The sequence below is a fragment of the Homo sapiens genome, chromosome 19 (genome assembly GCF_000001405.40).
Source record: "Homo sapiens chromosome 19, GRCh38.p14 Primary Assembly".
Lineage (NCBI taxonomy): Eukaryota > Metazoa > Chordata > Mammalia > Primates > Hominidae > Homo > Homo sapiens.
In genome coordinates, this window is record NC_000019.10 from 51021587 (window position 1) to 51049569 (window position 27983).

The 27983-nt window shown below is 49.6% G+C and overlaps 2 protein-coding genes across 21 annotated transcripts, besides 5 other annotated features; both read right to left on the reverse strand.

Moving 5' to 3' along the window:
* Positions 1-649: 649 nt before the first annotated feature.
* Positions 650-6405, reverse strand: KLK11 (kallikrein related peptidase 11). Of its 14 annotated transcripts, none has more exons than XM_047438105.1 (7): positions 5871-6060; positions 4435-4556; positions 4006-4080; positions 3048-3208; positions 2459-2795; positions 1506-1642; positions 650-1111 (listed from the first exon to the last, which is right to left on the reverse strand). In XM_047438105.1, the coding sequence occupies exons 3-7, from the start codon at positions 4043-4045 to the stop codon at positions 959-961; spliced, it is 828 nt and encodes a 275-aa protein (XP_047294061.1). In that variant the 5' UTR covers positions 4046-4080; positions 4435-4556; positions 5871-6060; the 3' UTR covers positions 650-958. The 14 variants fall into 14 exon arrangements, with proteins under 14 accessions (XP_047294061.1, XP_011524673.1, XP_047294060.1 ...); XM_011526371.3 differs by lacking the exon at positions 5871-6060 and adding an exon at positions 4952-5030 and having other exon boundaries at positions 4435-4553; XM_047438104.1 differs by lacking the exon at positions 5871-6060 and adding an exon at positions 4952-5030.
* Positions 4109-4667: an enhancer, noted in NCBI's record as "H3K4me1 hESC enhancer chr19:51528951-51529509 (GRCh37/hg19 assembly coordinates)". NCBI's record gives its function as "activates a minimal SCP1, AML or CMV promoter by ChIP-STARR-seq in primed H9 embryonic stem cells {active_cell/tissue: H9 hESC(primed)}" and the evidence as "EXISTENCE:reporter gene assay evidence [ECO:0000049][PMID:30033119]".
* Positions 4668-5225: an enhancer, noted in NCBI's record as "H3K4me1 hESC enhancer chr19:51529510-51530067 (GRCh37/hg19 assembly coordinates)". NCBI's record gives its function as "activates a minimal SCP1, AML or CMV promoter by ChIP-STARR-seq in primed H9 embryonic stem cells {active_cell/tissue: H9 hESC(primed)}" and the evidence as "EXISTENCE:reporter gene assay evidence [ECO:0000049][PMID:30033119]".
* Positions 5785-6341: an enhancer, noted in NCBI's record as "H3K4me1 hESC enhancer chr19:51530627-51531183 (GRCh37/hg19 assembly coordinates)". NCBI's record gives its function as "activates a minimal SCP1, AML or CMV promoter by ChIP-STARR-seq in naive H9 embryonic stem cells {active_cell/tissue: H9 hESC(naive)}" and the evidence as "EXISTENCE:reporter gene assay evidence [ECO:0000049][PMID:30033119]".
* On the reverse strand, positions 7508-13416 carry KLK12 (kallikrein related peptidase 12). Of its 7 annotated transcripts, NM_019598.3 has the most exons (7): positions 13209-13416; positions 12999-13054; positions 12394-12553; positions 10290-10549; positions 9202-9335; positions 7756-7871; positions 7508-7626 (listed from the first exon to the last, which is right to left on the reverse strand). In NM_019598.3, exons 2-7 carry the CDS (start codon positions 13033-13035, stop codon positions 7569-7571), a joined length of 765 nt encoding a protein of 254 aa, NP_062544.1. In that variant the 5' UTR covers positions 13036-13054; positions 13209-13416; the 3' UTR covers positions 7508-7568. The 7 variants fall into 7 exon arrangements, with proteins under 7 accessions (NP_062544.1, NP_001357054.1, NP_001357055.1 ...); NM_001370125.1 differs by having other exon boundaries at positions 7508-7871; positions 13220-13416; NM_001370126.1 differs by lacking the exon at positions 10290-10549 and having other exon boundaries at positions 12839-13054; positions 13220-13416.
* Positions 8374-8605: a silencer, noted in NCBI's record as "fragment chr19:51533216-51533447 (GRCh37/hg19 assembly coordinates)". NCBI's record gives its function as "represses an EF-1alpha promoter that drives an FKBP-Casp9 reporter gene in an ReSE screen in HepG2 liver carcinoma cells {active_cell/tissue: HepG2}" and the evidence as "EXISTENCE:reporter gene assay evidence [ECO:0000049][PMID:32094911]".
* Positions 16530-17030: an enhancer, noted in NCBI's record as "H3K4me1 hESC enhancer chr19:51541373-51541873 (GRCh37/hg19 assembly coordinates)". NCBI's record gives its function as "activates a minimal SCP1, AML or CMV promoter by ChIP-STARR-seq in naive H9 embryonic stem cells {active_cell/tissue: H9 hESC(naive)}" and the evidence as "EXISTENCE:reporter gene assay evidence [ECO:0000049][PMID:30033119]".

Here is a 27983-nt window from a genome sequence, read left to right on the forward strand (position 1 = left end):
ATCTCACCACTTTTGGAGGCTGAGGAGGACAGACTGCTTGAGCCCAGGAGTTTGAGACTAGCCGGGGCAACATACTGAGACCTCTGTCTCTACGAAAAATACAAAAATTAGCTGGGCTTCGTGGCATGTGCCTGTAGTCCCAGCTACTCTGGAGGCTGAGGGAGGACAATCACTTGACCCCAGGAAATTGAGATTGCCGTGAGCTGTGATTGTTACTGCACTCCAGCCTGGGCAACAGAGCAAGACTGTCTCCTAAATAGATTAATTAATTTAATTTCTTTTAATTAATAAATGAAAGCCGGGCGGGCGCGGTGGCTCACGTCTGTAATCCCAGGAGTTTGGGAGGCCAAGGAGGGCAGATCATCTGAGGTCAGGAGTTCGAGACCAGCCTGGCCAACATGGTGAAGCCCCATCTCTACTAAAAAATACAAAAATTAGCCGGATGTGGTGGTAGGCACCTGTAATCCCAGCTATTCAGGAGGCTGAGGCAGGAGAATTGCTTGAACCCAGGAGGTGGAGGTTGCAGTGAGCAGAGATAGCACCACTGTACTCCAGCCTGGGTGACAGAGCGAGACTCTGTCAAAAAATAAAATAAAATAAAAGCCATTGGATCAGGGTCTAGCACATAGTAAGCACTCAGTAGATTCACTCATTTAGCAAATATTTATTGAAACCTTGATATATGGCCAGGAGCTGTCTTTGGGGCTGGGGATACAACAGAGAACAAACCAGGTGTTGTCATTCCCAGAGTCACAATATTTCAAGGCAGAATTTGAATCCAGGTCTCACTGATTTCGAACCCCAGGTTGATTATTAAGTGACAGCATCTCCTGTAGTCCAGGAGGCCCAAAGAATGTTCGTAGAGGGTCTTGGCTTAGGGTTTCTTATTAACAGAGTGAACAGGAACCAAACACCAAGTGGAAATGGAGGGTGATGGGCTGTGGTGGGTGGGTCCAGTCTAATTGTTCTTCATCGTCTCCTGGATCCAGTCCACATATTTGCAGACTTTCGTGTAGACACCAGGCTTTCGGGTGATCGCACACGGATCCTGGCCCCAGGAGATAATGCCTTGAAGAGACTGGTTACAGACCAGAGGGCCCCCGGAGTCACCCTGGGCACGGGGAGAGAGAATGTCGGTCAGAGAAAGCGTTGAGCATGGTGTTAGCCAGGGAGGAGGTGGGGACGGTGCTTAGGAGTGGGGCCGAGACAGGATGGGTAGGCACTGGGAAAGGTGATAGGTTTAGCGATAAAGCTGGGATTATGGGTGGGATAAAGGATGGGGTTAGGCTCAAAAACGAGTTTGGGGATGGTTGGAGCTGGAAATGGTGTGGAAACGGGGATGGAGCTGAAGTTTGTGCTGAGGTCAGAAACGGGAACAGGGGAAGAGATGGATTGGGAGTTGCAGGGGTCGGCGGGTTGAGGTTGGGGATGAAATTGTGGATGTCGGTAAAGATGTCATTGAAGCTGGGGATGGGGATGGGGCTGTGGTTGGAGACCACACTGACCTGGCAGGAGTCCTTGCCCCCTTCCTGCACGCTGGCACACACCATGGTGTCTGTGATGTTGCCGGGGTAGGCGTTCTCACACTTCTGGTGCTCAATGATGGTGATGTTGGCGCATCGCAAGGTGTGAGGCAGGCGTACTGTGGAAACAGCGTGAGGGGCTGTGGGAATGAGCCCCCTGCCACCTCCCCTAATGCAGTGCTTGCTGTGATCCCGCCCCTGGGGGAATCCCTGTCCTTAGACGCAGCCAACTCACCTCTCTTCTTGTAACAATAGCAACAGCAATGCTATCCAGCTTTTTTTTTTTTTTTTTCGAGACAGAGTCTTGCTCTGTTGCCCAGGCTGGAGTGCAGTGGCGTGATCTTGGCTCACTGCAACCTCCGTCTCCCAAGTTTAAGCGATTCTCCTGCCTCAACCTCCCGAGTAGCTGGGATTACAGGCGCACACAACCACGCCCAACTAATTTTCACATTTTTAGTAGAGATGGGATTTCACCACGTTGGCCAGGCTGGTATCAAAGTCCTGACCTCAGGTGATCTTCCCACCTCGGCCTCCCAAAGTGCTGGGATTACAGGCGTGAGCCACGGTGCCCAGCCTGCTATCCAATAAATGATTTATGTCAGTTGCTTGATATACATTATCTCTAATCCAATCCTGACAGGTGGGTATAATCATTCTCATTTTATAGAGAAGAAAATCAAGATTCAGAGAGGTGAAGCTGCTTGCCTAAGGTCTTACAACCAGGAGGTTATGGATGTATGATTGCATATCCCGTCCGTCTGACTCCAAGGCCCCAACTTTTGTCCCCACCCCCCTATCCTGACGTTTTCCACACATCCTCTCAACTTATCCCACATCGTCACTGTGAACCGCATCTCTGATGCCCTGAACCCTTCCACAATCCTGACCACTCCCTCCTCACCACCCCCTGCCAGGTTCCCCTCTGGTGCTCCTACACTGGGGGCTGGACGTGCTGCCCCAGCCGGAAATGAGGCAGCTGGTGCCAGCAGTGACACAGCGTGAGGAGAGGGTGAGGGGTCGCACAGCCCAGGTGATGGAGACTGGCGATGCCATCTTCACCAGCATGATGTCATTGCGGTGGTCTTTGTTGGGGAGGCTGTTGTTGAAGCCGGGGTGGGGGAAGGACTCAGTGGCTGTCCGGGTCTGCTCACAGCCCTCCTCCTTCTGGAGGTTGTGCTGCCCCAGGTGAACTATGTAGCGGCTGAGGTGGGAGAGACAGTAGTTGGAGGAGGAAAGGTCGGGGGAGACATGGGTGGGAGAGGTGAGTGACACCTTTGAGGATGAAGAAACATCGCTCTGCTTCCAACCTCTTCCACGTCTCCCACCGAAGCCCCCTTCCCAGCCATAGCCCCATCCCAACCCCATTCATCCCCCCACCTTCAATACCAACTCGAGCCCATCAACCTTGCTGACACTACCCATCCCCATCTCTAATCCCCTTACCAGCACCCCTATCCCTGAGCTTCTCTCCATCCATCTCCCCATTCCCAGCCCCCCACCCCGGCACCGCCCCAGCCCCCGCACCCACGGCTTGAGGCAGTGGGCTGCTGTCAGGAGCCATCTGGGGGCGATGAGCGTCGCCCCACAGAGTAGCCGCGTCTTCTCGAACAGGGCTGCCTGCCAGGGCTGGGAGTGAGGCTTGCACTCGAACCCCTTGATGATCCTGGTCTCTCCCCCTACAAGCCCTGGAGGGGGTGAGAGCAAAAGAAGGGGCTCAGGAAGGAGAGGTGGTAGACCAGGAGGACTCCCAGAAATGGGGGTGGGGAGGAGAGAAAGAGAGTGGGTGGTCTGGGCCCTGGTCTGGTGTCCCTCTGGGTTGCCCTGGATGCTGGGGTCGGGTATTAAAGGATGAAAATACTTCCATAAGGTCAAATGCAGTGGCTCATGCCTGTAATCCCAGCACTTTGAGAGGCTAAGGTGGGAGGATTACTTGAGCCCAGGAGTTCTAGATCAGCCTAGGCAAACATAGTGAGACCTCCTCCCCCATCTCTACAAACAATTAAACAATTAGCCTGGCTTGGTGGCAGGTGCCTGTGGTCCCAGCTACCGGGGAAGCTGAGATGGCTTAAGGATCACTTAAGCCCGGGAAGTCAAGACTGCAGTGAGCCGTGTTGGCACCACGGCACTCCAGCCTGGACAATAGAGCAAGACTTTGTCTCTGGGAAAAAAAAAAAAGGAAATACTTCCATACTGGTTGGTCAGTAGCCCCTGTCCTGGGCGCTTTGAGTGACTGCTCCCCCAACTCCAGCTTCCTCAGCCCCTCCACGGGACCCTTTACGACCCCCTTGACCTCTCCTCCTTTGGCATTTAAAGGGATTATCTAGAAGGGCATCCAGGCCCTCATGACCACTGCTCCAGTTCAGGTGCCTTATGGGTTGTTCTGTAATTTGGAATCAGCCCTGTCACTGTCCAGACACAGAGGGTTAGGGGATCCCAGAGATTCAAGAGGGAGGATCCTGCCCTGCCCCCATCCCCTGCGTACCTGTTGCCAGAGCAAGCAGGATTAACTGCAGAATCCTCATGGCCTGGAGGGGGGAGGAGCGGGCCCCAGGTTCCTCTGGGAACAAGGAGGGACATGGGGCCGCATCACTTTACGGGGAAATCGGGAGGGGGGGGCTGGCTCATGCCCTCTCCTCTCTCCCTCACCTGCTCCCGCTCCCCACTTGGGAGAAACAAGGTTGGGGAAATCCCCTGTTTCTCACAGCACTCAGATCTCCAAACACTTAAAATATATCTTAGGTGTCTAGGGTGGCCTTGGAGAGGGCCTGGTCACAGCTAGAAGCTTCCGAGATACCAAGAACCATGTGGAAGTCGTTGGGAGGGGCTTTGAGCTGTCAAGCCATGGTTCGGCCCTGTTCAAGTCAGCCATGGGACCTCCCCGGCACATGTCAGAGGATGTTTTCCTTCTTGCCTTGAGAGCTGGCCAGGCCCCAGCAGCTTGGGGTGGAAGGACAAGGGGAACCAGACACCGTTCCGTAGCCACCCCTTTTTCATTGTCTTCGCAGCAGAGCGATATGGAGCCTTTGAGGTCTGCTGGAGGGGAGTAGGGGGCTCAGCCCCAGACAATGTCTGGGACCCCCATCACCCGGCTTGCTGAAGCCCTGTCCGCCAAACCCCTGCCCTTTTGAAGGACAGCCAAGCAAAGCTGGGCGGGGCTGGTCGAGGGGAGGGCCAGTGCCCTCCGCTGCCCTGGCCAGCGGGGGTGGGAGCAGAGGGCCAGCTCAGCAGCTGAAGCCATGGAGATTAGAGGTAACTGAGGCTGCGGACAGCCATCGGAGGTGAGAGGTGTAGAGAGAGGCCAGGAACCCCCACCCAAGCAGAGAAGGACAGAGCAGAGGGAGAAATGGGTGCCCGAGTGGGACAGGTGTCCTTGGGGAGGGCTGACACCTGGACGGGGAGGGGCAGCTTCCCTTTCCTCCTGGACTCACAGGCTCTGGGGCTGGGGCTCTGGGGGCCCAGTGGCGGCGGAGACGGCAGTGGCGGCAGCTACAGCAGGTAGGCTGGGTTGGAGCGCCAGGTGCCAGGCACCAGGCAGGCGGGCTGGCAGGGGGGCGGCCCTGGGCGGGCCCAGGATGACTGGCCTCCAAGCCCTGCCTTAATGCCCCGGGGCGGGGTGTGTGTGAGGGCCCTCCCCGGAGGCCTCTGAGGCACTGGCTGCCTGCCTGTGCCACCTCTCCAAGCCCCTCTTCTCCCTGTGTCTCAGCCTCCCTCTGTCTGTCTGTCTGTCTGCAGCCTTCCTTTCCCTGCCCTGAGTCTCTGAATCTGTGTCTCGTTCTATGTGTCATTCCCTGTCATTCAGTAATTCTGACTTTGTGTGATTTTTCTCTTTCTGTCCCTATGTGTCTGTCTGCCTTTCTCTGTCCTCGTCCCTGTCTCCATCTCCACTCTTCTCTCTCTGTCTGGCTCTGTGTGGCCCTTTCTCTAATTCCTTCTATCTTTGTGTCTCTCAGTCAGTCTCTCTGACTGCATCTCTGGCAATTTGTCTTGAAATCCCTCTTCTTCCATCTAATCTCCGTCTCTCTTTTTCCTCCCGTCCCAGCCACTCCCTCTCCACAGCCCCAGCCCAGGTGGGCCCCTGGCCTCCCCTAGGCCGCTCCCTTCTCCTTTGCAAGGAGAGGGGGGGTGTGCTGGGATGTCACACAGGTGGGGCTGCTGCCAGGCACAGGGGCAGGACCGGAGGGTGGGGGAGGCAGGTCAGGGCCTGTGGAAGCCGAGTCCAGGAAAGGGAACAGAGCCCTTGGCTGTGCTCCACCCCAGGGCTCCTCTGGGGCCTCGCTCCTCTGCTGACCCTTCCCCTGCCCGCTTCTCCCTGCCGCCCAGGCAGCCCGAGTCCAGCTGTTCACTTACTGGCTGCTGTGAGACCTCTGCCCGATGACTTCCAGTCCCGCAGCCACCTCAACCTCTGCATCTGCGGAACCCGAGCGCAGATTCCTGCTTCTCCCAGCTTGTTTGTTTTCAGTTAGGTCCCTTCCCTTGGCTTTCCTCCCCTCTCTCCCCTGACCAGGTGTGGAGCAAGGCAGGGGAGGGCCTAGGTTCTGACAGCAGCCAGCCCTGGCCTCAAACCTAGGTGCTTCCTCTTCCTACTACTATGACTACCCTTATGACGTGGGGACAAGGGACTCCACCCCTGCAAGGCTCAGTTTCTTCATCTGAGAGATGGGGGTGACAGACCTGCTTGCAGGGGAGGTTGGGATCAGGCTTCCAGGAGGGTCCACTTGGAAAGAGCAGACTGCGGGGGGGCTCAGCAAATGTGCCTCCGCTGGTATGATCACCCCTCACTCCCTCCCTCCTCCAGTTTCCCTTCAGTGCATTTGGGGAGATGGTCTCTCCTCACCTCTTGAGTCCCAGTGGAGACAGAATCCAAGGGGTGGGCAGGAGGATTAAAGACGTAGGCTGAGCTCTCCTGCTTTCCAAGCCTGCACTCCACCCTTCGTCTTATTAGAACAAAGCCACGTCCCACATTAAAGATACAATGTATGCTTCATTACAAGAAAGTAAACTGCAGTTGGCTAGTGGAAAGAATGCTACGTTTTATGGACATTGGATTAAATGGTCATAAATGTTGACTTTGCAGCTTTCATCTGGTATTTTGGAGCTAACAATTTTCTTTTTCTTTTTCGGGTCTTTTGTGGACTCTTGAAAAGCTTATAAGCTCTGGGCACTATTTCTATTATGCCAGATGAAGAAACATGTGTCTTATTTATATTGCTGGGTTTTTGTTTTTGAGACAAGGTCTCACTTTATTGCCCAGGCTGGAGTGCAGTGGCATGATCTCGGCTCTTTGCAGCCTCCACCTCCCCGGCTCGGGTGATCCTCCCACCTCAGCTTCCCAAGTAGCTGGGACTACAGGCACGCACCACCACACCCAGCTAATTTTTTGTGTTTTTGTAGTGACAAGATTTCACTGTGTTGCCAGGCTGATCTCGAAATCTGAGCTCAAGCCATCCTCCCACCTCGGCCTCCCAAAGTGCTGGGATTACAGGCGTGGGCCACTGCACCCGGCCTATATTATTAAAAGTAACTTTTTCTACTCCATTTCTGAGTAACTACTCAGGGAAGACCCTCATCCTATTTGAGCACTGGGTTTTTTGTTTGTTTGTTTTTGAGATGGAGTCTCGCTCTGTCGCCCAGGCTGGAGTGTAATGGTTCAATCTCGGCTCGCTGCAGCCTCTGCCTCACGGGTTCATGCTATTCTCCTGTCTCAGCCTCCTGAGTAGCTGGGATTACAGGCATGCGCCACCATGCCTGGCTAATTTTTGCATTTTTAGTAGAGTTGGGGTTTCACTATGTTGACCAGGCTGGTCCCGAGTTCCTGACCTCAGGTGATCCACCTGCCTCAGCTTCCCAAAGTGATGGGATTACAGGTGTGAGCCACTGTGCCTGGCCTTATTTGAGCTCTGTTTCTACTCCTATGAGATAGGGAAACTGCTGAGTCCTTCTTCCAGTCTCAACCAGCATGAGGACTTCAAATGGACAGACATGGCCCCTCCTTCATTTATATTTATTCCAGACTATTGCACACTTCTCTCACCCCGCTCGTGGGTCTTAGAAGGGCTGGCAGGAGTTAAAGTTCCAAGAAGTTCCCAGGCCAACAAGAGTGGAGCTAGGGGAAGTGATGGAGGAGATATTGGTGCTCTGAGGGCCAGAGGGGTACCCAAGTTAAGGGGTGGGGGTGGAGGTGGAGGAAACAGGTCAGTTGTTCCTCATGATCATCCGGATCCAGTCCACATACTTGCAAATATAGGTGTAGACTCCAGGGATGCCATCTTGTCCACAGGGCCCCACAGACCCCCAGGACACCAGACCTTGAAGGACTCCCCCACACACCAGGGGGCCCCCAGAATCACCCTGGAAGGGAAGAGAAGTACTGTCTGAACAAGGGAGACATCTTATTTCTGTTTTCCTCCCCAACCCTTCAACCCAGTCCTGGGCCTTGGGGAGGGCTCCAAGTCTGGTCATTAGACAAAAGAGTATAATCACTTTCCCGGAGGACAATGGCAATGGCTAACCAAAAGAGAAGAACCACTGTCTCTAGGGGCCAATCCCAGGGAAGAAGGGTGGAACTCCATAAAGGACAGAGGTTCTCTCAAGGACAATGGCTGGGGCCCTGACCAATGAGGAGAGAGAGCACAGTCATTAATGACCAATCTCAGGGGAGGCTGTCAAGACAACATAAAGAGTCGAGCATTCTCTCAAGGACAATGGCTGGGGCCCTGACCAATGAGGAGAGAGAACACTATTATCAATGACCAATCCCAGGGGAGGAGGGTGGGACTCCATAAAGGATAGAGGTTCTCTCAAGGACAATGCCTGGGGTTCTGACCAATGAGGGGAGAGAGTGCCATCAAAAATGACCAATCCCAGGGAAGGTGGGCAGGACTCCATCAAAAGCACAGAGTTCTCTCAAGGACAATGGCTGGGGCCCTGACCAATGAGGGGAGAGACCGCCATCCTCAAATCTCTCTCAGTCTGGGACAGCACCAACTGGAGGATGGTATGGGAAAGACTTAGAGCCCCAGAAACAGCTGGTTCCCTGTCTGGGCTCCCAGTCCTCTCCGTCTGTTTTGCTGTCTCTCTCTGTAACCCCTGCCCCATCTTTCCTTCTCTGTTCCCTTCCTCCCTCTCTCTCCCTGCCCCTCCCCCTCCTCCATTCCCCGGTCCTCCCTTTTACTCCCTGTCTCTCTCCCTCCCTTATCCTGGGCCTCTCCTCCATTATTATTATTATTATTATTATTATTATTATTAATTATTTTGTTTTGAGACAGAGTCTGGCTCTGTCGCCCAGGCTGGAGTGCAGTGGCGTGATCTCAGCTCACTGCAACCTCCGCCTCCCGGGATCAAGCGATTCTCCTGCCTCAGCCTTCCAAGTAGCTGGGGCCACAGGCTTGCACCACCACCCCCGGCTAATTCTGGTATTTTTAGTAGATTCAGAGTCTCACCGTGTTGGCCAGGCTTGTCTTGAACTCCTGACCTCAAGTGATCCGCCCGCCTCGGCCTCCCAAAGTGCTGGGATTACAGGTGTGAGCCTCCGTAACCAGCCTCTCCCTTCCTTTTTGACCCCGTCTCTCTGCAGCATCCCCTTTCCCTGATTCATCCTCCATCAGTTCCCCTCCTGCTTCCAGCCCCTCCCCTTCACTTCCTGTCCTGGTGACCACGCACGCTGCCTGCACTGGCTCACCTGGCAGGCATCCTGCCCCGGGACGCCGCCTGCACACACCATGTTGCTCGTGATTCTCCCGGGATACACACCATGGCAGGTGGCATGGGAGACGATGGAGAGGTTGAGGCACTGGAGCAGATCCGGGAATGGGTCTGGAGAGAGAACATGCGTGCTGCAGGGTCCCCTAAATCTCCCCACTTTGAGGCCACGTCCCTCTTCCCTGGATGTGGCCCATCCATGTCAATACCCCTGCCCCTCACCGACCTGTACTACAATCCCGAAACCTCCAAGTTACATATTTATGACTTAATTTCATATGAATCATGACCCCAGATGATTGACGGTCTCTTTGATCTTTGACATTTGACTTTGAGTGGCATAACTCAAGAACTTTCTTGTCTCTCCAGCGTCAGAGACAACGAATCCAGACCTGACCCTCTTCAATGCCAGCTACTGTGATCTTTGACCTTCTGTCTTATTACCTTATGATCCCAGCTTGATCTCATATCTTCTGTCTCCTGACCCCATGTCCCTGTCTTTACCTTAACCTCCAACCTCAGCTCTGCATCTTCCAAACCTCACTGCTTCCAACGCCAGTGTCCCCTGATCCTAGTTTATTGGGCCCCAGCCTCCATGACCCCAAACTTCGGGCCCCACACCCCAAACGCTATGACCTCCAATCTCAGATATGTGATTTTGGATAGAATCCCAATTTCCATCCTCAGATTTTGACCAGATTGTACAACCTCTGGATCCCATGACCTTAATTCTACGGTGACCTCTAACCCCAGACCCATGACCCACAATGCCCATATCCTATACATACATATATATATATATATGCCTTTTGCTCCAGTGTGATGACCTCTGACACACTCTGACCTCTGACCTCTGATCCCTGACTTCATACCCAGTCCTTTAACCCCTTTGGCTCCCAAGACCCCAATCCACCATAATCTCTGACCCCAAACCATGATCCTGATGTCCCATCCCACACCCTGACCCTTTACCCATCCTTCCTCTGAGGTGTCATGATTCGACCTCTCGCCCTGCATCCCAGACTTGTACCCATCCTGACCCCTGACCCCTGGCCCTGGGCCCCTTACTCCGTGGGTGGTTGGTGATGCCCCAGCCTGAGACGTGGCACTCGGTGCCAGCGGTTGCACAGTCATTGGGCAGGGGCAGGGGTTGAACGCTGCTGGTTACGCGGACGGGCAGGCGCAGCCGCAGCAGCCGGAGGTCGTGCTCGTGGCTCGTCGAGGCTCCCAGGTAGCCGGGATGGGTCACAGAGAAGCCGCTGTGCCGGATCTGCTCGGTCCAGTCGAGCTGGCTGAGGCTGTGTTCCCCCAGGCGCACCCAGTACCTGCTGCCGGTGGCGACGGCTGAGCGGGTGGCAGGCACGCAGTCCCCCACCTTGCACCCCTCCACGGACACTCAGGCGCTCCTGCCGCTCCCCACTGTTCTGCCCCTCACTGTCTGTCCTCTCACCCGCAACTCTCATTCTCCGAGTCTCTCTTACAGGCTCTTATTCCCAACCTCCATCACCCTCTTTCCATCTTGGGTGTTCCCTGTTTCTCCTACCATGTCCCTGCATCTGTGTCTCTCTCTCTCCTTTTTTTTTTTTTTTTTTTTTTCAAGACCGAGTCTCGCTCTGTCGCCCAGGCTGGAGTGCAGTGGCACCATCTTGGCTCACTACAACCTCCACCTCCCAGGTTCAAGCAATTCACCTGCCTCAGCCTCCCAAGTAGCTGGGATTACAGAAGCATGCCACCATGCCCAGCTAATTTTTGTATTTTTAGTAGAGATAAGGTTTCACCATGTGTGTCAGGCTGGTCTCAAACTCCTGACCTCAAGTGATCCGCCCGCCTCGGCCTCCCAAAGTGCTGGGATTACAGGTGTGAGCCACCGCGCCAGGCCTCTCTTTCTGATTCTCTCGGCTGGTGAAGCCCATGAAGGCAGGGACATCAGTGGACCTTGTTCACTGCCTTATTCCCACCGCCTGGCACGGAGCATGTGCCCTCCATGCTCATGCGTGGACGAGTGGGTTCATGATTGAACGAGTGGGTTGATGAATGGCCTCTCTGCATCCTGCTGCTGGCCCTCTCTCTCCCTGAGTCTCTGTTTCTTTGCATCTGATCTCCCCTTTCACAAAAAAAGTTCCAGGCCAGGCACAGTGGCTCATGCCTGTAATCCCAGCACTTTGGGAGGTCAAGGCAGGAAGATTGCTTGAGCTGAGGAGTTTGAGACCAGCCTGGGTAACATAGCAAAACCCTGTCTCTACAAAAAAAATTTAAAAATTAGCCAGGTGTGGTGGCGCAGGCCTGTAGTCTTAGCTCCTTGGGAGGCTGAGGTGTGAGGATCACTTGAGCCCAGGTGGTTGAGGCTGTAGTGAGCCAAGATAGCATCACTGCACTCCAGCTTGGATGACAGAAAGAGCAAGACTCTGTCTCCAAAAAAAAAAAAAAAGAAAGAAAAAGAAAAAAATTCCAGAACATCAGTCTACTGAGGCCCAGAGAGGTGCCAGGCATAGATTCTGAAGTTGCACAAAGAGTTTGGGTCATGTTGGCCGGGTGCAGTGGCTCACACCTGTAATCCCAGCACTTTGGGAGGCCAAGACGGGCAGGTCATTTGAGGCCAGGAGTTCGAGACCAGCCTGGCCAACATGGCAAAACCCTGTCTCTACAAAAAATACAAAAATTAGCTGGGCATGGTGGCGGGTGCCTGTAATCCCAGCTACTCAGGAGGCTGGGGCAGGAGAATCACTTGAACCTGGGAGGCAGAGACAGCAGTGAGCTGTGATCACGCCATTGCACAGCAGCCTGGGCGACAGAGCGAGACCCTGTCTCAAAAAAATAAAAAAAAGAAAAAGAAAAAGAGCTTGGGTGAGACCTGGGCCCCGGGCCCAGACTGGGTCAAGGAATGGCTGGGGTGAGTGGCAGATGTCATATAGGAAAGAAAGGGTACATGCAGGAATGGGAGAGGCAGGAGGGCAGGTTCCAGGACCCTCCCCGGCCCTCCACCCAACATACCTCACCCTGCCCAGCACCACCCCAGGCCCACTGCTAAGGAAGTTCCACTCCTGGTCTAACCTCAGACTCTCTTGTTGCAGGATCAGCTTCTTCCCAGTGGGCACCACCCTCCCTTGTGATCCTACCCCCAGCGCTTGCCTTCCCATAGTCCTCCCTTCGCCCACCCCAGGAAGGGACTTACCTGCCGCTGCAGTGAGCCGCTGTGAGGACCCACCTGTGGTCAATAAGGACACCCCCGCAGCGCAGGCTGGTGCCCTCAAACAGCCCCACCTGCCACGGCTGTGAGTTACGCCCACACTCAGTGCCATTGAAAATCTTCGGTGTGGCTGCCTGGCTGAGCCCTGGAGACAGACAGGGGCATGGGTCAGAGAGAGGAAGAAAAGATACAGAGATGGAGAGACACACAGAGTGAGAGAGAGAAACAGGCAGGAGAGAGAGAGGAGAAAGAGAGACGAGAAAGAGAGAGAAAGAGAGAGAGACCCAGTGATAGAAAAAGACCATGAAACATCAAAGACACCCAGGGAGAAAGATGCTTACACATAGGAGGGAAATGGAGAGACAGAGATTCAGAGAGGGACAGAAGGGAAGAGGGATCAAAAAATAGGGGAGACCGAGGTGAGCAGTACCCTGAGAGCTGCAGGTAAATGGAGGCACAGAGAAAGCCCCTCTCCTCCTCACCACCAGGCTGGGGGCCAGAGCTGAGATGGGGAGGGTGGTGGGGCCTCCTCATGGGGGTGAAGGGATCCAGTCGCAGTCCTGCCCTCTCCCTGCTCCGGGAGAACTCACCAAGAACACACAGGAGCAAAAAGATGCTGAGCCCCATGGTGGGTCACTTCCAAAGTCTGGGGGAAAAGGGGAATCTCAGAGGTCACCCTTTCCCTGTGCCCCCCACCTCTGCCCTCTCTGCTTCTCTTTGAAGGTCACCAAGGGGATGACCTGCTTGTCCTCTCTCTACCTGCTCCCCTGTGTGTCACTCCCTCATTGGCAGTCGCCTACCTCCTTCTCACCTTGTCTCTTTGTCTGCCAGATCCTCTACGTGGCTGTCACTGTTTGGCCTGTCCTCGTCGCTGCTATCTCTCCGTCCACCTACCTGCCTGTCTTCTCATGTGCTGGCCACTCCGCCAGCCAACTCTACCACTCTGCACCTGGCTCCTCAGCCACCTGTCATGTTGCTCAACCGGTCCCTTTCCTTCCATCTGTCGCTCCAGACAGACCACTGACAAAGCTCTTAACTCTCTTTGTCCTGGCCCATCCAGTTTCCGGGTTAAGGGAAGGGGACCACGAAGACAGGGGTGGGGCGTGCTCTAATTCTGCAGAAACTCTTCTCAGCTAATCACACTTAATTGAGCTTTACAGCTAAACGGAGTGGGGAAGGAGGAAAGGACCCAGGGTGGGAAGACCCAGCCCCACTCCCTCTCTCCTCTGCAAGCCCGTCAGCAGCCCCAGGACTGATGACTCAAGGTGACTAGGGAGCTGGGTTCTAATCCTGACTCCAGTGACAAAGGAGGGTGGGGAGACCTTGGACACCTGGGGCCCATCCCCATGCAGTGCAGGGGAGGGGCAGGGGGAAGGAGAGGCTGTGAAAGCAGGAGAGTGGACGGGAGGGGCAGGAAGCCCAAGCTAGAAAGAGTCCCAGAAAGAGAAGAAGAGTTGAAGGAACAGACTTCCAAATAGGTGATCAGGCAGGGGTAGAAGAGAGTTTCTGAACTGAGTTCATATATGTACATATGAAGTGGATCAATCTAATTCCATAAAGTTTTTCTTTGCTAAGAACTTCTATTGCTTAAATAAAACCCACAGAGAGAAAAAAAAAAGACACAGGGAAGGAGAAATGGTAGAAAGAGAGAGAGAGAATGAGTCACAGGACAAGGGAACTTTGTGCTGTTTTTTGTTTTTCGTTTTGAGATGGAGTCTCGCTCTGTCACCCAGGCTGGAGTGCAGGGCTGTGATCTCCGCTCACTGCAACCTCCACCTCTTGAGTACCTGGGATTACAGGCACGTGCCACCATGTCCGGCTAATTTTTGTATTTTTAGTAGAGACGGGGTTTCACCATGTGGGCCAGGCTGGTCTTGAACTCCTGGCCTCAAGCAACCTGCCTGCCTTGGCTTCCCAAAGTGCCGGGATTACAGGTGTGAGCCACCATACCTGGCCTCTGTGCTGGTTTATCTGAGTTTTTGCTTCATCTAGGAGGAATGGAAGGAGAGAAAGAAGGAGAGAGAGAGGGGACAGAGAGAGAAAATGAGAACAAAAAGGGAATTCGGCTCAGAGGAAGGGGGATTGAGAAACAAACCAAGAGAAAAGCAGTCAGGGCCAGGCGCGGTGGCTCACGCCTGTAATCCCAACACTTTGGGAGGCCGAGGCGGGCAAGTCACTTGACGCCAGGAGTTCAAGACCAGCCTGGTCAATATGGTGAAACCCCATCTCTACTAAAAATACAAAAATTAGCTGAGTGTGGTGGTGCATGCCTGTAATCCCAGCTGCTCGGGAGGCTGAGGCAGGAGAATCCCTTGAACGTGGGAGGCGGAGCTTGCAGTGAGCCGAGATTGTGCCACCGCACTCCAGCCTGGGCGGCAGAGCAAGACTCCATCTCAAAAAAAAAAAAAAAAAAAAGAAAGAAAAAGAAAAAAAAGAAAAGCGGTCAGACAGAGCGCACAAACAAACAAAAAAACCCAGAACAAAACAGAGGAGAGCAAACTCCCACCCTATGACTGTCTTTTAGTCCTTCACTTTCTCTCTGGGTCTCCAGTCTCTGTCCGTGTCTCATTTTCAGAATCACAGAACCTTAGCTTTTGATTTGCTCTTAGAAACGACCTAACTGCTTTAACTCATCATTGGTCAGCGCGACTGGCGTTGATAACGCTGGTCCCTACAAAGCCTCCTGCTGGCTGTTAAGAGCTTTCCTTCTTTGGGCAGAGAGGATAAAAAAGCACCATGACTGTCCTTTCTCTGGAAAGGACACACGTCACACGCTCACAGCACAAAAACGCCACTTCTTCCTTTTTCTGGTGTCAAGTTTTACAATAAACCTCAACTGAATAAGCAAAGAAACAAAAACAAAAATACCAACAACTACCCAACTCAACCTCTCTCTCTTTTTTTTTTTCTGTGTAGATTTTTAAGAGAATCAGGTTTACTGATGTGGAATTTATATCCAATAAAATTGAATACAAAAAATAAGGCGGGCTCGCTGATTTTAAGGAGCATTCATGCAAATTAAAAATACCATGTATATAGTTAGTAACAATGTATTGTGTACTTGAAAATTACTGACCGAGTAGGGTTTAAGTGTTCTCACTACAAGTAAATATAAGTATGGGGCCGGGCATGGTGGCTCGTGGCTATAATCCTAGCACTTTGGGAGGTTGAGATGGGAGGATGGATTGAGGCCAGGAGTTAGAGGCCAGCCTGGGTAACATAGTGAGACCCTGTTTCTACAAACAAAAACTAAAAAAATTAACCAGGCATTATGGTGACACAGGCCTGTAGTCCTAGTTATGTGGGAGGCTGAGGTGGGAGGATCACTTGACCCCAGGAGTTTGAGGCTGCAGTGAGTTATGATTGTGCCACTGCACTCCAGCCTGGGCACTCCAGCCTGCACTCCCGTCTCAAAAAAAAAAAAAAAAAAAAAAAAGACCAGCATGGGCAACATAGTGAGACCTCATCTCCACAAAAAGTAAAAAAAAGTTAGCCTGGGGGAGGGGCATACCTGTGGTCCCAGCTACTTGGCAGGCTGAGGTGGGAGGATCGCTTGAGCCCAGGAGGTGGAGGCTGCAGTGAACCATGGTCACACCACTGCACTCTAGTCTGGGTCACAGAGCAAGACCCTGTCTCTCTATAAAAAAAAATAATAATAACTTTTATTAAAAAATAAAATAAAATAAATTTGTAGATGAGGAATATTTTGCCTCCAGAACTCAACGAGGCCTAAAATGTTTTGGGTTTGTTTTAATGCTGTGGGTGCTAAGAGACTCAATAGCTGTTTCCTGGCAGTGTCTCAGCTGGAGGGGTCCTCACTTTACCAAATGATTTTCAGAAATTTAACCAAGGTGGGGCCGGGCGTGGTGACTCACGTCTGTAATCCCAGCACTAGGCCGAGGTGGGCAGATCACTTGAGACCAGGAGTTCGAGACAAGCCTGGTCAACATGGTGGACCCTCGTCTCTACTAAAAATACAAAAATTAGCCAGTTGTGGTGGTGGGCACCTGTAATTCCAGCTACTCCAGAGGCTGAGGCAGGAGAATCACTTGAACCTGGGAGGCAGAGGTTGCAGTGAGCCGAGATCGAGCCACTGCACTCCAGCCTGGGTGACAGAGTGAGACTCCGTCTCAAAAAAAAAAAAAAAGAAAAAAAAGAAAAAGATATTCAACCAAGGTGGGAGGCCTCATACTCTGTGTGGGGCACTGGCCCATCCCATTGTGTGAGTTCCTCTAGAGTATTTGTGAATCTAGAATTAGCGTATCCTATGGGCTTCCTTTGGACAAGGGTGTTTGTCACCATATGACGTCATGCCTGTGCTTTTGGAGAAACGTGGATGGAGCTGGGGTGTTGCCTGTGTTGCATGTCAGAACGTGATAGCCCAGAGTCTGGAACTTCAGCATGCTGAGTGCTTTGAGCTGAAGGAGATTGGAAGACCTCAGGAACAAGAGGTTCTCTCCAACCTCCTCCTGCTTTCCTCTCCTCTCCCCTTACTTCTCCTTTGAAGCAGTCACAGACACTAGAATTCCTTTTCCCCTGAAGACCCTCATGTGACAGGTGTCCTGCAGAGGAAGAAATGCAACACAGAAAGGCCCAGAAGAATCTGAACAAATGGGACCTGCTGGGATCCCCCCTCAATTTATGACCAAGAGATCATACCTGTTTTTTGGTTTTTGTTTGTTTGTTGAGTTGGTTGGGTTTTTTTGAGATGGAGTCTCGCTCTGTTGCCCAGGCTGAAGTGCGGTGGCACAATCTCGGCTCACTGCAACCTCCGCCTCCTGGGTTCAAGCAATTCTTCTGCCTCAGCCTACTGAGTAGCTGGAATTACAGGCACCTGCCACCACACCCAGCTAATTTTTGTATTTTTAGTAGAGATGGGGCTTTACCATATTGGCCAGGCTGGTCTCGAACACCTGACCTCATGATCCTCCCACCTCGGCCTCCCAAGATCGTACCTGGTTTTTCACATCACATGTCTACATGCCAACGCCTTCTTCATTGAACCTCAAAATGACACAATTTTCCCTGAGTTTTTGGGTCTTCATTTCTGAAGGCTTTCATGTCACATAAAACTGTTAAATCCACTTGTTACGCTTTTATCTCATTAACCTGTCTTTTGTTATAGGGGTGCTGGCCATGGACTTTGAAATGCATAAGAAAAAGGTATTGCGGGCCAAGCACGGTGACTCATGTCTGTAATCCCAGCACTTCAGGAGGCCGAGGCAGGCAGATCACCTGAGGTCAGGAGTTTGAGACCAGCCTGGCTAACATGGTGAAACCCCGTCTCTATTAAAAATACAAAAATTAGCTGGGCGTGGTGGTGTGCACATGTAATCCCAGCTACTCGGGAGGCTGAGGCAGGGGAATTGCTTGAACCCAGGAGGCAGATGTTGCAGTGAATGGAGACTGCGCCACTGCACTCCAGCCTGGGCGACTGAGCAAGACTCCATCTCAAAAAAAAAAAGGTATTGCACCTTTTCACTACTGCACCTGCAGTAGTGGCCAGGATTCAAGGTTCCCCAGGAGCAGCTGGGTCAGGTGTATTGTATCCTTTCCACGGTGAAGGCTAGCTGCAGCTGAGAGGCTGTTGAAATAGCCTTGGAACAGAGCATATCAGCCAAATCCAACGACGGTAACGTATTTGCCAGTTGCTGATTCTATGGAAAGTAATACTGGGTATGGGGGCCTTAATGGATATGTGATATTTTGTTTTGTTTTTGACACAGGGTCTTGCTTTGTCGCTCAGGCTGGGGTGCAGTGGTGCAATTATAGCTCACTGCAGCCTTGATCTGAGCTCAAGCAATCCTCTTGCCTCAGCCTCTCAAGTAGTCGGGACCACAGATGCACACTACCATGCCCAGCCAATTATTTCTATTTTTATTTTTAGTAGAGAGGAGGTCCCACTATGTTGTCCAGGCTGGTCTTGAACTCCTGAGCTCAAGCAATCCTTGATCCTCCAACCTTGGCCTCCTAGAGTGCTAGGATTACAGATGTGAGCCACCTCACTGGGCTGGTACATGATGTTCTGAAATACATATACATTGTGGAATGACTAAGTTGAGCTAATTAACATTCATCCTTCACATTCTTATTTTGTGTGCATGTGGTGAGAACACTTAAAATCTACTCTCTTAGCAATTTTTGAGTCCTGTAGTCCCCGCTTATCCAGGGAAAATATGTTCCAAGATCATGGAGAGTACCTATCGTAAAATTTAATTTATAAATTAGGCGTAGTAAGAGATGAACCACAATAATGAATAATAATACAATAAAACAATTATAACCATGCACTGTAATAAAATTATGTGTTATGTGGTCTCCCTCTCTCAAAATATCTTATTGTACTGAATTGTACCCACCTATTGTGGGACTGCGGTTGACCACAGGTACCTGCACTGCAGAACGGGAAACCTCAAATAAGGAGGGACTGCTGTCTATGGTACATTGTTATTAACTAGAGTTACCATGTTGTATTAATACAGTAAATCTCTTAAACTTATTCCTCTTGCACTACAGGTGCACACCACCATGTCCGGCTAATTTTTCAAATTTTTAGTAGAGATGAGGGTCTCACTATGTTACCCAGACTGGTCTCAAACTCCTGGGCTTAACCGATTCTCCCACTTTGGCCTCCTAAAGTGCTGGGATGATAGGTGTGAGCCACTGTGCCTGGCCATCAACTTCTTATAAAGTTAGATGTATGCTGGCCAGGCACAGTGGCTCACGCCTGTCATCCCAGCACTTTGGGAGGCCAAGGCAGGTAGATCACCTGAGGTCAGGAGTTCAAGACCAGCCTGGCCAACATGGTAAAACCCTGTCTCTACTAAAAATACAAAAAATTATCTGGGCATGGTGACAGACGCCTGTAATCCCAGCTACTCAGGAGGCTGAGGCAGGAGAATCGCTTGAACCTGGGAGGCAGAGGTTGCAGTGAGCCTAGATCGTGCCACTTCATTCCAGCCTGGGCAACAGGAGTGAAACTCTGTCTCAAAAAAAAAAAAAAAAAAAAGTTAACCATATGCTTATCATACAATTCAGCAATTCTGCTTCGAGATGTCTTCCCAAGAGAAAGGAAAACATATGTCCACACGATGATTTGTACATGAATATTCATGGAAGCCTTATTTATAATTGCTGGAAACTGAAAGCAACCCAAATATACAACTGGTGAATGGATAAACAAGTTGTGATATTCCATACTATGGAAGACTGCTCAGCAATAGAAAGGAATGAACTTAGGGCAGGGCACAGTGGCTCAAACCTGTAATCCCAGCACTTTGGGAGGCCGAGGCGGGCAGATCACCTGAGGTCGTGAGTTCGAGACCAGCCTGACCAACATGGAGAAACCCCATCTCTACTAAAAATACAAAATTAGCCGGGCATGGTGGTGCCTGCCTGTAGTCCCAGCTACTCGGGAGGCTGAGGCGGGAGAACCGCTTGAACCCGGGAGGTGGAGGTTGTGATGAGCCGAGATCGTGCCATTGCACTCCAGCCTGGGCAACAAGAGTGAAAGTCCATCTCAAAAAAAAAAAAAAAAAAAAAAAAAAAGAAAGGAAGAAAGAAAGAAAAGAAAGGAGTGAACATAAACTTGGATGGCGGTCTCACGATGTCACGATGTTGTCCAGGCTGCCAAGCAGTTAATCTAGACCTGACTTAACCCCTGGGGTCCTTAAACCCCATAAAGCCACCATTGCCATGGGGAAGGCCCCTAACCATGACAATACTGATTTGAAGCTCTCTGGAGGAAAAAAAAAAAAAATCAAGTATAAATATAAACAGAGTAGAGAGGACCCAATCTCACTCCAAAATATATCCAGTAATCATTAAAAAAAAAAAAGATTAAAAAATTTCAGCATTGTGTGGGTATACCACAACTTGTTTTTCCATTCACCGGTTGTTGTATATTTAGGTTGCTTCCAGTTTCTGACAATGATAAATAAGGCTGCTATGAATATTCATGTACAAATCATTGTGTGGACATGTTTTCCTTTCTCTTAGGAAGACACCTCAGAGTGGGACTGCTGGATTGTACGATAAGCATATGTTTAACTTTATAAGAAGTTGATAATACTGATTTGAGGCTCTCTGGAGGAAAAAAAATCGAGTATAAATATAAACAGGGTAGAGAGGACTCAATCTCACTCCAAAATATATCCAGTAAGCATTAAAAAAAAAAGATTAGCATTAGGAGATATACCTAATGCTAAATGATGAGTTAATGGGTGCAGCACACCAGCATGGCACATGTATACATATGTAACTAACCTGCACATTGTGCACATGTACCCTAAAACTTAAAGTATAATAATAAAAAAAAAAGATTAAAAAATTTCAGCATTGTATGGGTATATCACAACTTGTTTATCCATTCACCAGTTGTTGTATATTTAGGTTGCTTCCAGTTTCTGGCAATGATAAATAAGGCTGCTATGAATATTCATGTACAAATCATTGTGTAGACATGTTTTCCTTTCTCTTGGGAAGACACCTCAGAGTGGGATTGCTGGATTGTATGATAAGCGTATGTTTAACTTTATAAGAAGTTGATAATACTGATATGAGGCTCTCTGGAGGAGAAAAAGTAGAGTATAAATATAAATAGGGTAGAGAGGACCCACTCCCACTCCAAAATATATTCAGTAAGCATCAAAAAAAAAAGATAAAAAGATCTCAGCATAGTATGGAATAGTACAACTTGTTTATGCATTCACCAGTTGTATATTTGGATTTCTTCCAGTTTCTGGCAATTACAAATAAGGCTGCTATGAACATTCATGTACAAATCATCACGTGGACATGTTTTTCTTTCTCTTGGGAAGACATCTTGAAGTGGGATTGCTGGATTGTATGATAAGCATAGGTTTAACTTTATAACAAGTTGCTGGCCAGGTGCAGTGGCTCACACCTATCATCCTGGCACTTTAGGAGGCCAAGGTGGGAGGATCGCTTGAGCCCAGGAGTTTGAGACCACTCTGGGCAACATGTGAGACCCCATCTCCACAAAACATTTGAAAAATCAGCTGGTAATGGTGGTGTGCACCTGTAGTCCCAGCTACTCAGGAGGCTGAGGTAGGAGGATCACTTGAGCCCAGGAGATTGAGGCTGCAGTGAGACGTGACTGAGCCACTGCACTCCAGCTTGGACAACAGAGGGAGATCCTGTATCAAAAAACTCCTCGCAAACGAAAAAACCTGCTGGTCCCAGAGCGCTCCCTGGAACAGAGAGCTAATGCCTGCTTGAGACCAAGCAATAGTCACAGAATGAGATCCTTCCTCTGAGAGCTGATGGTGTCATTAGGATGCATGACTCAATTCAAGACACATAGAGAGGTCTGGGTCCAGATACATGAACCAGGACCACTGGAAACAGGGTTACAGCTTCTTACTCCAGTTCCTAAACAGCAGCTCTTGAAACTTCTGACTTAGGCTGCTTAAATCTGCAACAGAGGGTTCAGTAGGTCTCAGCAAATGCAGCATCCAGCTCAAAGAGCATGCCACCCAGCCGGCGGCAGTGCAGTGAGCAGAAGGCAAGAGGAGAAAGACCCTGGTGCTGGTGCTGGTGGTGGTCATCACCTAGACCCCTGCTCACGGCACCAACTCCACAGTCATCCCCACAGAGGCAGAACAGGACCCTTCGGTGAGCGTGTGGCATCATCGGTCTTGACATCCGAACCAAATTTCGGATGGGGAGATCCATCCCATTTTTTGCAGATGGCCACAGCATCAACCTTCAAGGCCCAACTCCAAAGTCCCCTCCTCCAGAAAGCCTGACTGGGGTTTCTTGCCTCCTCATTGCTCCTACGATTTTATCACTTAACTTCTTAGAATGAAAACTTGGGCTTGCTCATGGAAAAGCCAGACTGTAAAATATTTTAAAGAGGTTTATTCTGAGCCAATAGGAGTGGTCATGGCCTGAGGAACACAAGCTCAAGAGGTCCTGAGTAAGTGCACACTGAGTAGTTGGATTACAGTTTGGTTTATGCATTTTAGGGAGGCAGGAGTTACTGGCAAAGTCATAGATCAATACATGGAAGGCATACATTGGTTTGGTCTGAAAAGGCAGGAGATCTTGAAACATGGGCTTACAGGTTATAGGTGAGTTCAGAGATTCTTTTTTTTTCTTTCTTTTCTTTTTCTTTTTTTTTTTTTACATGGAGTTTCACTGTATTGCCCAAGCTGGAGTGCAGTTGTGCGATCTCGGCTCACTGCAACCTCCGCCTCCCGGGTTCAAGCGATTCTCCTGCCTCAGCCTCTGAGTAGGTGGGACTACAGCCCCCTGCCACCACGCCCAGCTAATTTTTGTATTTTTAGTAGAGACGAGGTTTTACCATGTTGGCCAGGATGGTCTCGAATTCCTGACCTTGTGATCCGCCCGCCTTGGCCTCTCAAAGTGCTGAGATTACAGGCATGAGCCACTGCGCCCGGCCTCAGACATTCTTTAATTTGCAATTGGTTAAAGGAGTAAAGCTGTGTCTAAAAATTCGGAGTCAGCAGAAAGGAGTGTTTTTAGTTAACATAAGGAAATCTGTTAACTAAACCACCAGGTCAGAGCGACCTGCACGGTGCATGACGTAACCCTTGCCTGGCATGGCCTCAGGTCCTGTGTATAACCTGGTATCTTGCTGTCACAAAGAGTTTGTCTCCTCAGCTGTAATCTCTATCTTAACATTAATGCTGGTCAGTTGTGCCAAACCCCAAAAGATAGAGGGTACGATGAGGCGTGTCTGACCTCCTTTCCCATCATGGCAGGGAATTAAGTTTTAAAGTTTTTTCTGGGGTCCCGTTGGCCAAAAGGGGGACCTTTCAGTTGGTGAGGGGCTTAGAATTTTTATTTATTTATTTATGTATTTATTTATTGAGACAAGGTCTTGCTCTGTCTCCCAGGCTGGAGTGCCGTGGCGTGAATACAGCTCACTGCAGCCTCAACCTCCCAGGCTCGAGTGACACTCCTGCCTCAGCCTCCCGAGTCGCTGGGACTACAAGCACTCGCCATCACGCCCGGAAAATTTTTTTTTATTTTTTGTAGAGACAGGGTCTTGCTATGTTGTCCAGGCTGGTCTCAAACACCTGGGCTCAAGCGATCCACTCACCTCCGCCTCCCAAAGTGCTGTGATTACAGGTGTGAGCCACGGTGCCCGGCCCGTTATCTCATTTAATTGTCCTCACAACCCTGCTAAATAATTTTCATGCTCTCTGCTCCAGAATGAGGAAACCAAAGCCTCTCAAATCACCAGGGACCGCCCTCAAGATCCTCTAACCAGCCAGGGAAGAGCTGGAACTGGAGCTCAGGCCACATGATTCTCCTCCGCCAAAGGGGAAAGACTGAGCTTAACTCGGTGGCTTCCAACCTGCTCCAGCATGAGGCCTCCATTTTCCCGTTGGAAATGATCGCCTAGGGTGGTCTCAAACTCCTGAGCTCAAGTGATTCTCCTCGCCTCAGCCTCCCAAACAAAGTGCTGGGATTATAGGGATGAGATACCATGTCTGGCCTAGGTTTTTATTTTTAGTTTACAGGTGTTAACGCAAACTAAATATGGCCTGAGAAGGACTCTGTACTTCTGTATTTGAGTCCTTGTGGATGAACTGTAACCTAGCTTAATAGGCAGGCAGAATCGAAAACCTAACTTAGTAGTATGCACCTGTTACATCTGCTAAGTCTTGGCCAATCCCAGCAGCCATACTTCAACCATTCATACACTGCTGAGTGTTCAAACTGTGTTCAAATAAGACATATGCCGAGCTGTAACCAATCCAGCCATTCTGTACCTCACTACCAATTTCTGTACATGATTTCTCTGTCTCTCTCTTTTTTTTTTTTTTTTGTCTATAAATCTTTGTCCACCACGTGGCTGCGCTGGAGTGTCTCTGAATCTGCTGTGATTCTGGGGGCTGCTCGATTCCGGAATTGTTCATTGCTCAATTAAACTCCTTTAAATTTAATTCGGCAAAAGTTTTTCTTTTATCACAGGCTTATATTCCCCACTGCCCTCAATAGCCTGGAAAGTTCCACGGGGGCCCAGCTACAAAGCCTCACCCTGGGGCACTGGCTGAGCTTGGCCTGACTCTCCAGGCTAACAAGGTGAAGTCCATGGGGCCATCGAAGATGCGGTTCCATTAACCAGGATAGGGTTAAATCACCAGCGATTTTCCCTAGTGTAGGTCCATTCTTCTGTAAGATGGAGAGGATGATATTCCACCCAGCTGAGGCCTTGGGAGAATGGAATAAAAGGACTTCCAGTGCTGTGCCAACCTGGACAAATGCCAGAAAGCCTGGTTCGTCTTTTGACAAAATCCCCCTTGATTCCCCATTTTGCTTTTCTCCCTTTCTTTCTTCCTTCCTTCCTTCCTTCTTTCCTTTCTTTCTTTCCTTTGTTTTCTTTCTTTCTTTTTCTTTCTTTCCTTTCTTTCTTTCTCTTTCTTTCTTTCTTCCTCTTTCTTCTTTCTTTTCTCTTTCTTTCTCCTTTCTTTTCTTCTTTCTCTTTCTTTCTTTCTTTCTTTCTTTCTTTCTTTCTTTCTTTCTTTCTTTCTTTCTTTCTTTCTCTTTCTCTCTTGCTTTCTTGCTTTCTTGCTTTTTGTGAGACAGAGTCTCACTCTGTAGCCTAATCTGGAGTGCAGTGGCTCAATCTTGGCTCACTACAATCTTCGCTTCTGGGGCTCAAGCGAATCTCCTGTCTCAGCCTTCCAAGTAGCTGGGACTAGAGGCATGTGCCACCACACTTGGTTAATTTTTTTGTATTTTTAGTAGAGACCGGGTTTCACCATGTTGCCCTGGGTGGTCTCGAACTCTTGAGCTCAGGGAGTCCACCCGCCTTGGCCTCCCAAAGTGCTGGGATTACAGGCGTGAGCCACTGCACCCGGCTTCTCCCCCTTTTTCAAGGCTTCTCCATCTCCTGGCTCCACCAGTTCTCTCCAAATTCTTTCCAGTGCAGGCTTCCATTGTTATTAAAATTCCCCTGGGCAAAAACAGGAAGAGGAGGGCAGGTGGCTGAGAAATCCCAGAAGGGGGAGGAGGGAGGGAACGCTGAGTAGCTCACCACCTGGCCGGCCTTCCTGAGTCGAGGTGGTGTTGATAGTCAGAATCTCCAGCCCAGCTATGTCATTATTTTCTGTTCCATAGGCAGGATTTGGGTGGCTGCCTCCTACTCTCCAAAATCCACAGGTGTCACTCAAGGCAGCTCTCCTGGCACTGGGACCTTGGAGACAGCCTCGTAGTTACACTAATAATAAGAGCAACAACAATACTGAAAAAAATGACAGCTACCACTTATTGAGTTCTCACTCTGTGCAAGGCGTTCTTCTGAGCTTTCCACAGGAGCTCAATTAATCCTCTCAAATGCATTCCACAGTCAGTGCTGTTCTTTTTCATTTTAAAAAGTTTATGAATACATTTGGGTAGTCCCTAATCCTCCGGTGGAAAGAGTTGAATTCGTTGGTGGCACATTTTCATTAGTGATTTGGAGAGGATCCCTCTTTTGTTTTCCTTATTTATTTTGTTCCCTTTTATTTCCCTTCCCTTCTACTATTGTCTTTATCATTGTGCACATTTTGCCGTTATCTTTGTGAACGTGTATCCTTTGCTATTGTTTTTATTATTGTGTATCCTTCGCAATTATTTTCGCTCTCTTGTCTCCTTTACAGTTATCCTCATTATTGTGTGTATTTTGCTGTTGTATTTATTATTGCATAGCCTTTTATTAAGTTGAAATTCACAAATCATAAAATTAGCCACTTAAAGTGGACAGTTCAGTGGCGTTCAGTACATTCACGACGTTATAGATCTTTTTATTAGTATATGTCCTTACAAATTGTGTGTTGTTTTGTGTGCATTTGAAATTCATATCAATGGTATTGTGGTACGTAGCTTATTCTTTTCTTTCCCCCCGCCCCCCGCGCACAGCTGTGCTTTTTCTGGCCGGGCACTGTGGCTTACGCCTGTAATCCTAGCACTTTTAGAGGCTGAGGCAGGCAGATCGCTTGAGGTCAGGAGTTCAAGACCAGCCTGGCCAACATGGTAAAACCTCATCGCTACTGAAAAAAAAAAAAAAAGCATAAAAAATACAAAAATAAGCTGGGCATGGTGGTGCCTGTAGTCTCAGCTACTCGGAAGGCTGAGGCAGGATAATTAATTGTACCTCGGAGGTGAAGGTTGCAGTGAGCCAAGATCACGCCACTGCACTCCAGCCTGGGCCACAGAGCGAGACTCTGTCTCAAAAAAAAAAAAAACAAAAAAACAAAAAACTATGCTTTTTCATTTTCTAATAATATATTATTTACATAAAATAAAATTCATCCACTTTAAGTGTTCAGTTTGGTGAATTTTGGAAATCGGGTGGAATCATGTAAGCACCTCCATAATCCAAACATAAACCAGCTCCTCCCTGTCTCCCTCCCTCACTGCCCTCATCCTTAAGCTGCCTGCCTTCTGCCCCTTTTGCAAAAGCTCCCCGCAGGTGACACTGACGGGCACTCTGCCTCTATGGTTTTGCCTTTTTTAGAATGTTGTATACATGTTTGTCTTCTTTTACTAGCATAATACATTTCAGATTCATCCATGTTTTTGCGCTGATAAATACACTCATGGGAAGGACATTGTTTTGGACTAAACTCTTGGACTAGGCCCTAGCAGAACAGACCAAACCAGAATGGAGTCCCTTGTGCTAATTGCCATGTAATCAAACTGTTTTTGAAAATAACAAACAAACAAACAACCAGGAGGTTTACAGTAAGGAATCAGAAGGGGCCCAGTTGACCTGAGCTGGCAGGATAAGAGAGTTCCCTCTGTCTTAACCCTATTAAAAACATAACGTTGGAAAGACCAATCCACGTATTATTCCCTATTTCTGTTTCCTTCATCCCTTTTCTGCCTATAAAGCCAAACTCTGCTCAGCTCATGGGAACACCATTCTATTTTGTGGAATGAGATACTGCCCATTTGTAGAATTGCAACTCACAGTCGATTAGATCTTGAAACTAAATGTGTTGTAATTTAGTCTTTTGACCGCATATCAAGAGTTCATTCCTTTCTATTGCTGAGCTGTATTCCGTAGTATGGGTATACCACAACTTGTTTAACCATTCACCAGTTGTTGTATATTTGGGTTGCTTCCAGTTTCTGGCTATTATAATACAAATAAGGCTGATACAAACATTTATGTATCAATCATTGTGTGGACATATGTTTTCATTTCTCTTGGGAAGACACCTCAGAGTGGGGATTGCTGGATTGTATGATAAGCATAAGTTTAACTTTATGAGAAGTTGCGGCTGGGTGCAGGTGGCTCACACCTGTAATCCCAGCACTTTGGGAGGCCGAGAAGGGCAGATCACTTGAGGTCAGAAGTTCTAGACCAGCCTGATCAACATGGTGAAACGCTGTCTCTGCTAAAAATACAGAAGTAAGCCAGGCATGGTGGTGGGTGCCTGTAATCCTAGCTACTCGGAAAGTCGGTGGGAGAATCGCTTGAACCTGGGAGGTAGAGGTTACAGTGAGCCGAAATAAATAGCACCACTGTACTCCAGCCTGGGCAACAGAGCAAGATTCTGTCTCAAAAGAAAAAAAAAAGAAGTTGCTGGCTG

Excerpts from the sequence above, each read along its gene's own strand:
- KLK12 (NM_019598.3), bottom strand. The coding sequence starts at position 13,035 with ATGGGGCTCAGCATCTTTTTGCTCCTGTGTGTTCTTG. Across the intron at positions 7,872-9,201 it reads CGGGGCAGGATGCCTGCCAG|GGTGATTCTGGGGGCCCCCT; the intron begins GTGAGCCAGTGC and ends CTTCCCTTCCAG. Across the intron at positions 7,627-7,755 it reads GTCTACACCTATATTTGCAA|CTCCACTCTTGTTGGCCTGG; the intron begins GTATGTGGACTG and ends CACTTCCCCTAG.
- KLK11 (XM_011526369.2), bottom strand. The coding sequence starts at position 5,931 with ATGCAGAGGTTGAGGTGGCTGCGGGACTGGAAGTCATCGGGCAGAGGT. Across the intron at positions 1,643-2,458 it reads CAGCACGTCCAGCCCCCAGT|TACGCCTGCCTCACACCTTG; the intron begins GTAGGAGCACCA and ends CTGTTTCCACAG. Across the intron at positions 1,112-1,505 it reads GGGGCAAGGACTCCTGCCAG|GGTGACTCCGGGGGCCCTCT; the intron begins GTCAGTGTGGTC and ends CCCCGTGCCCAG.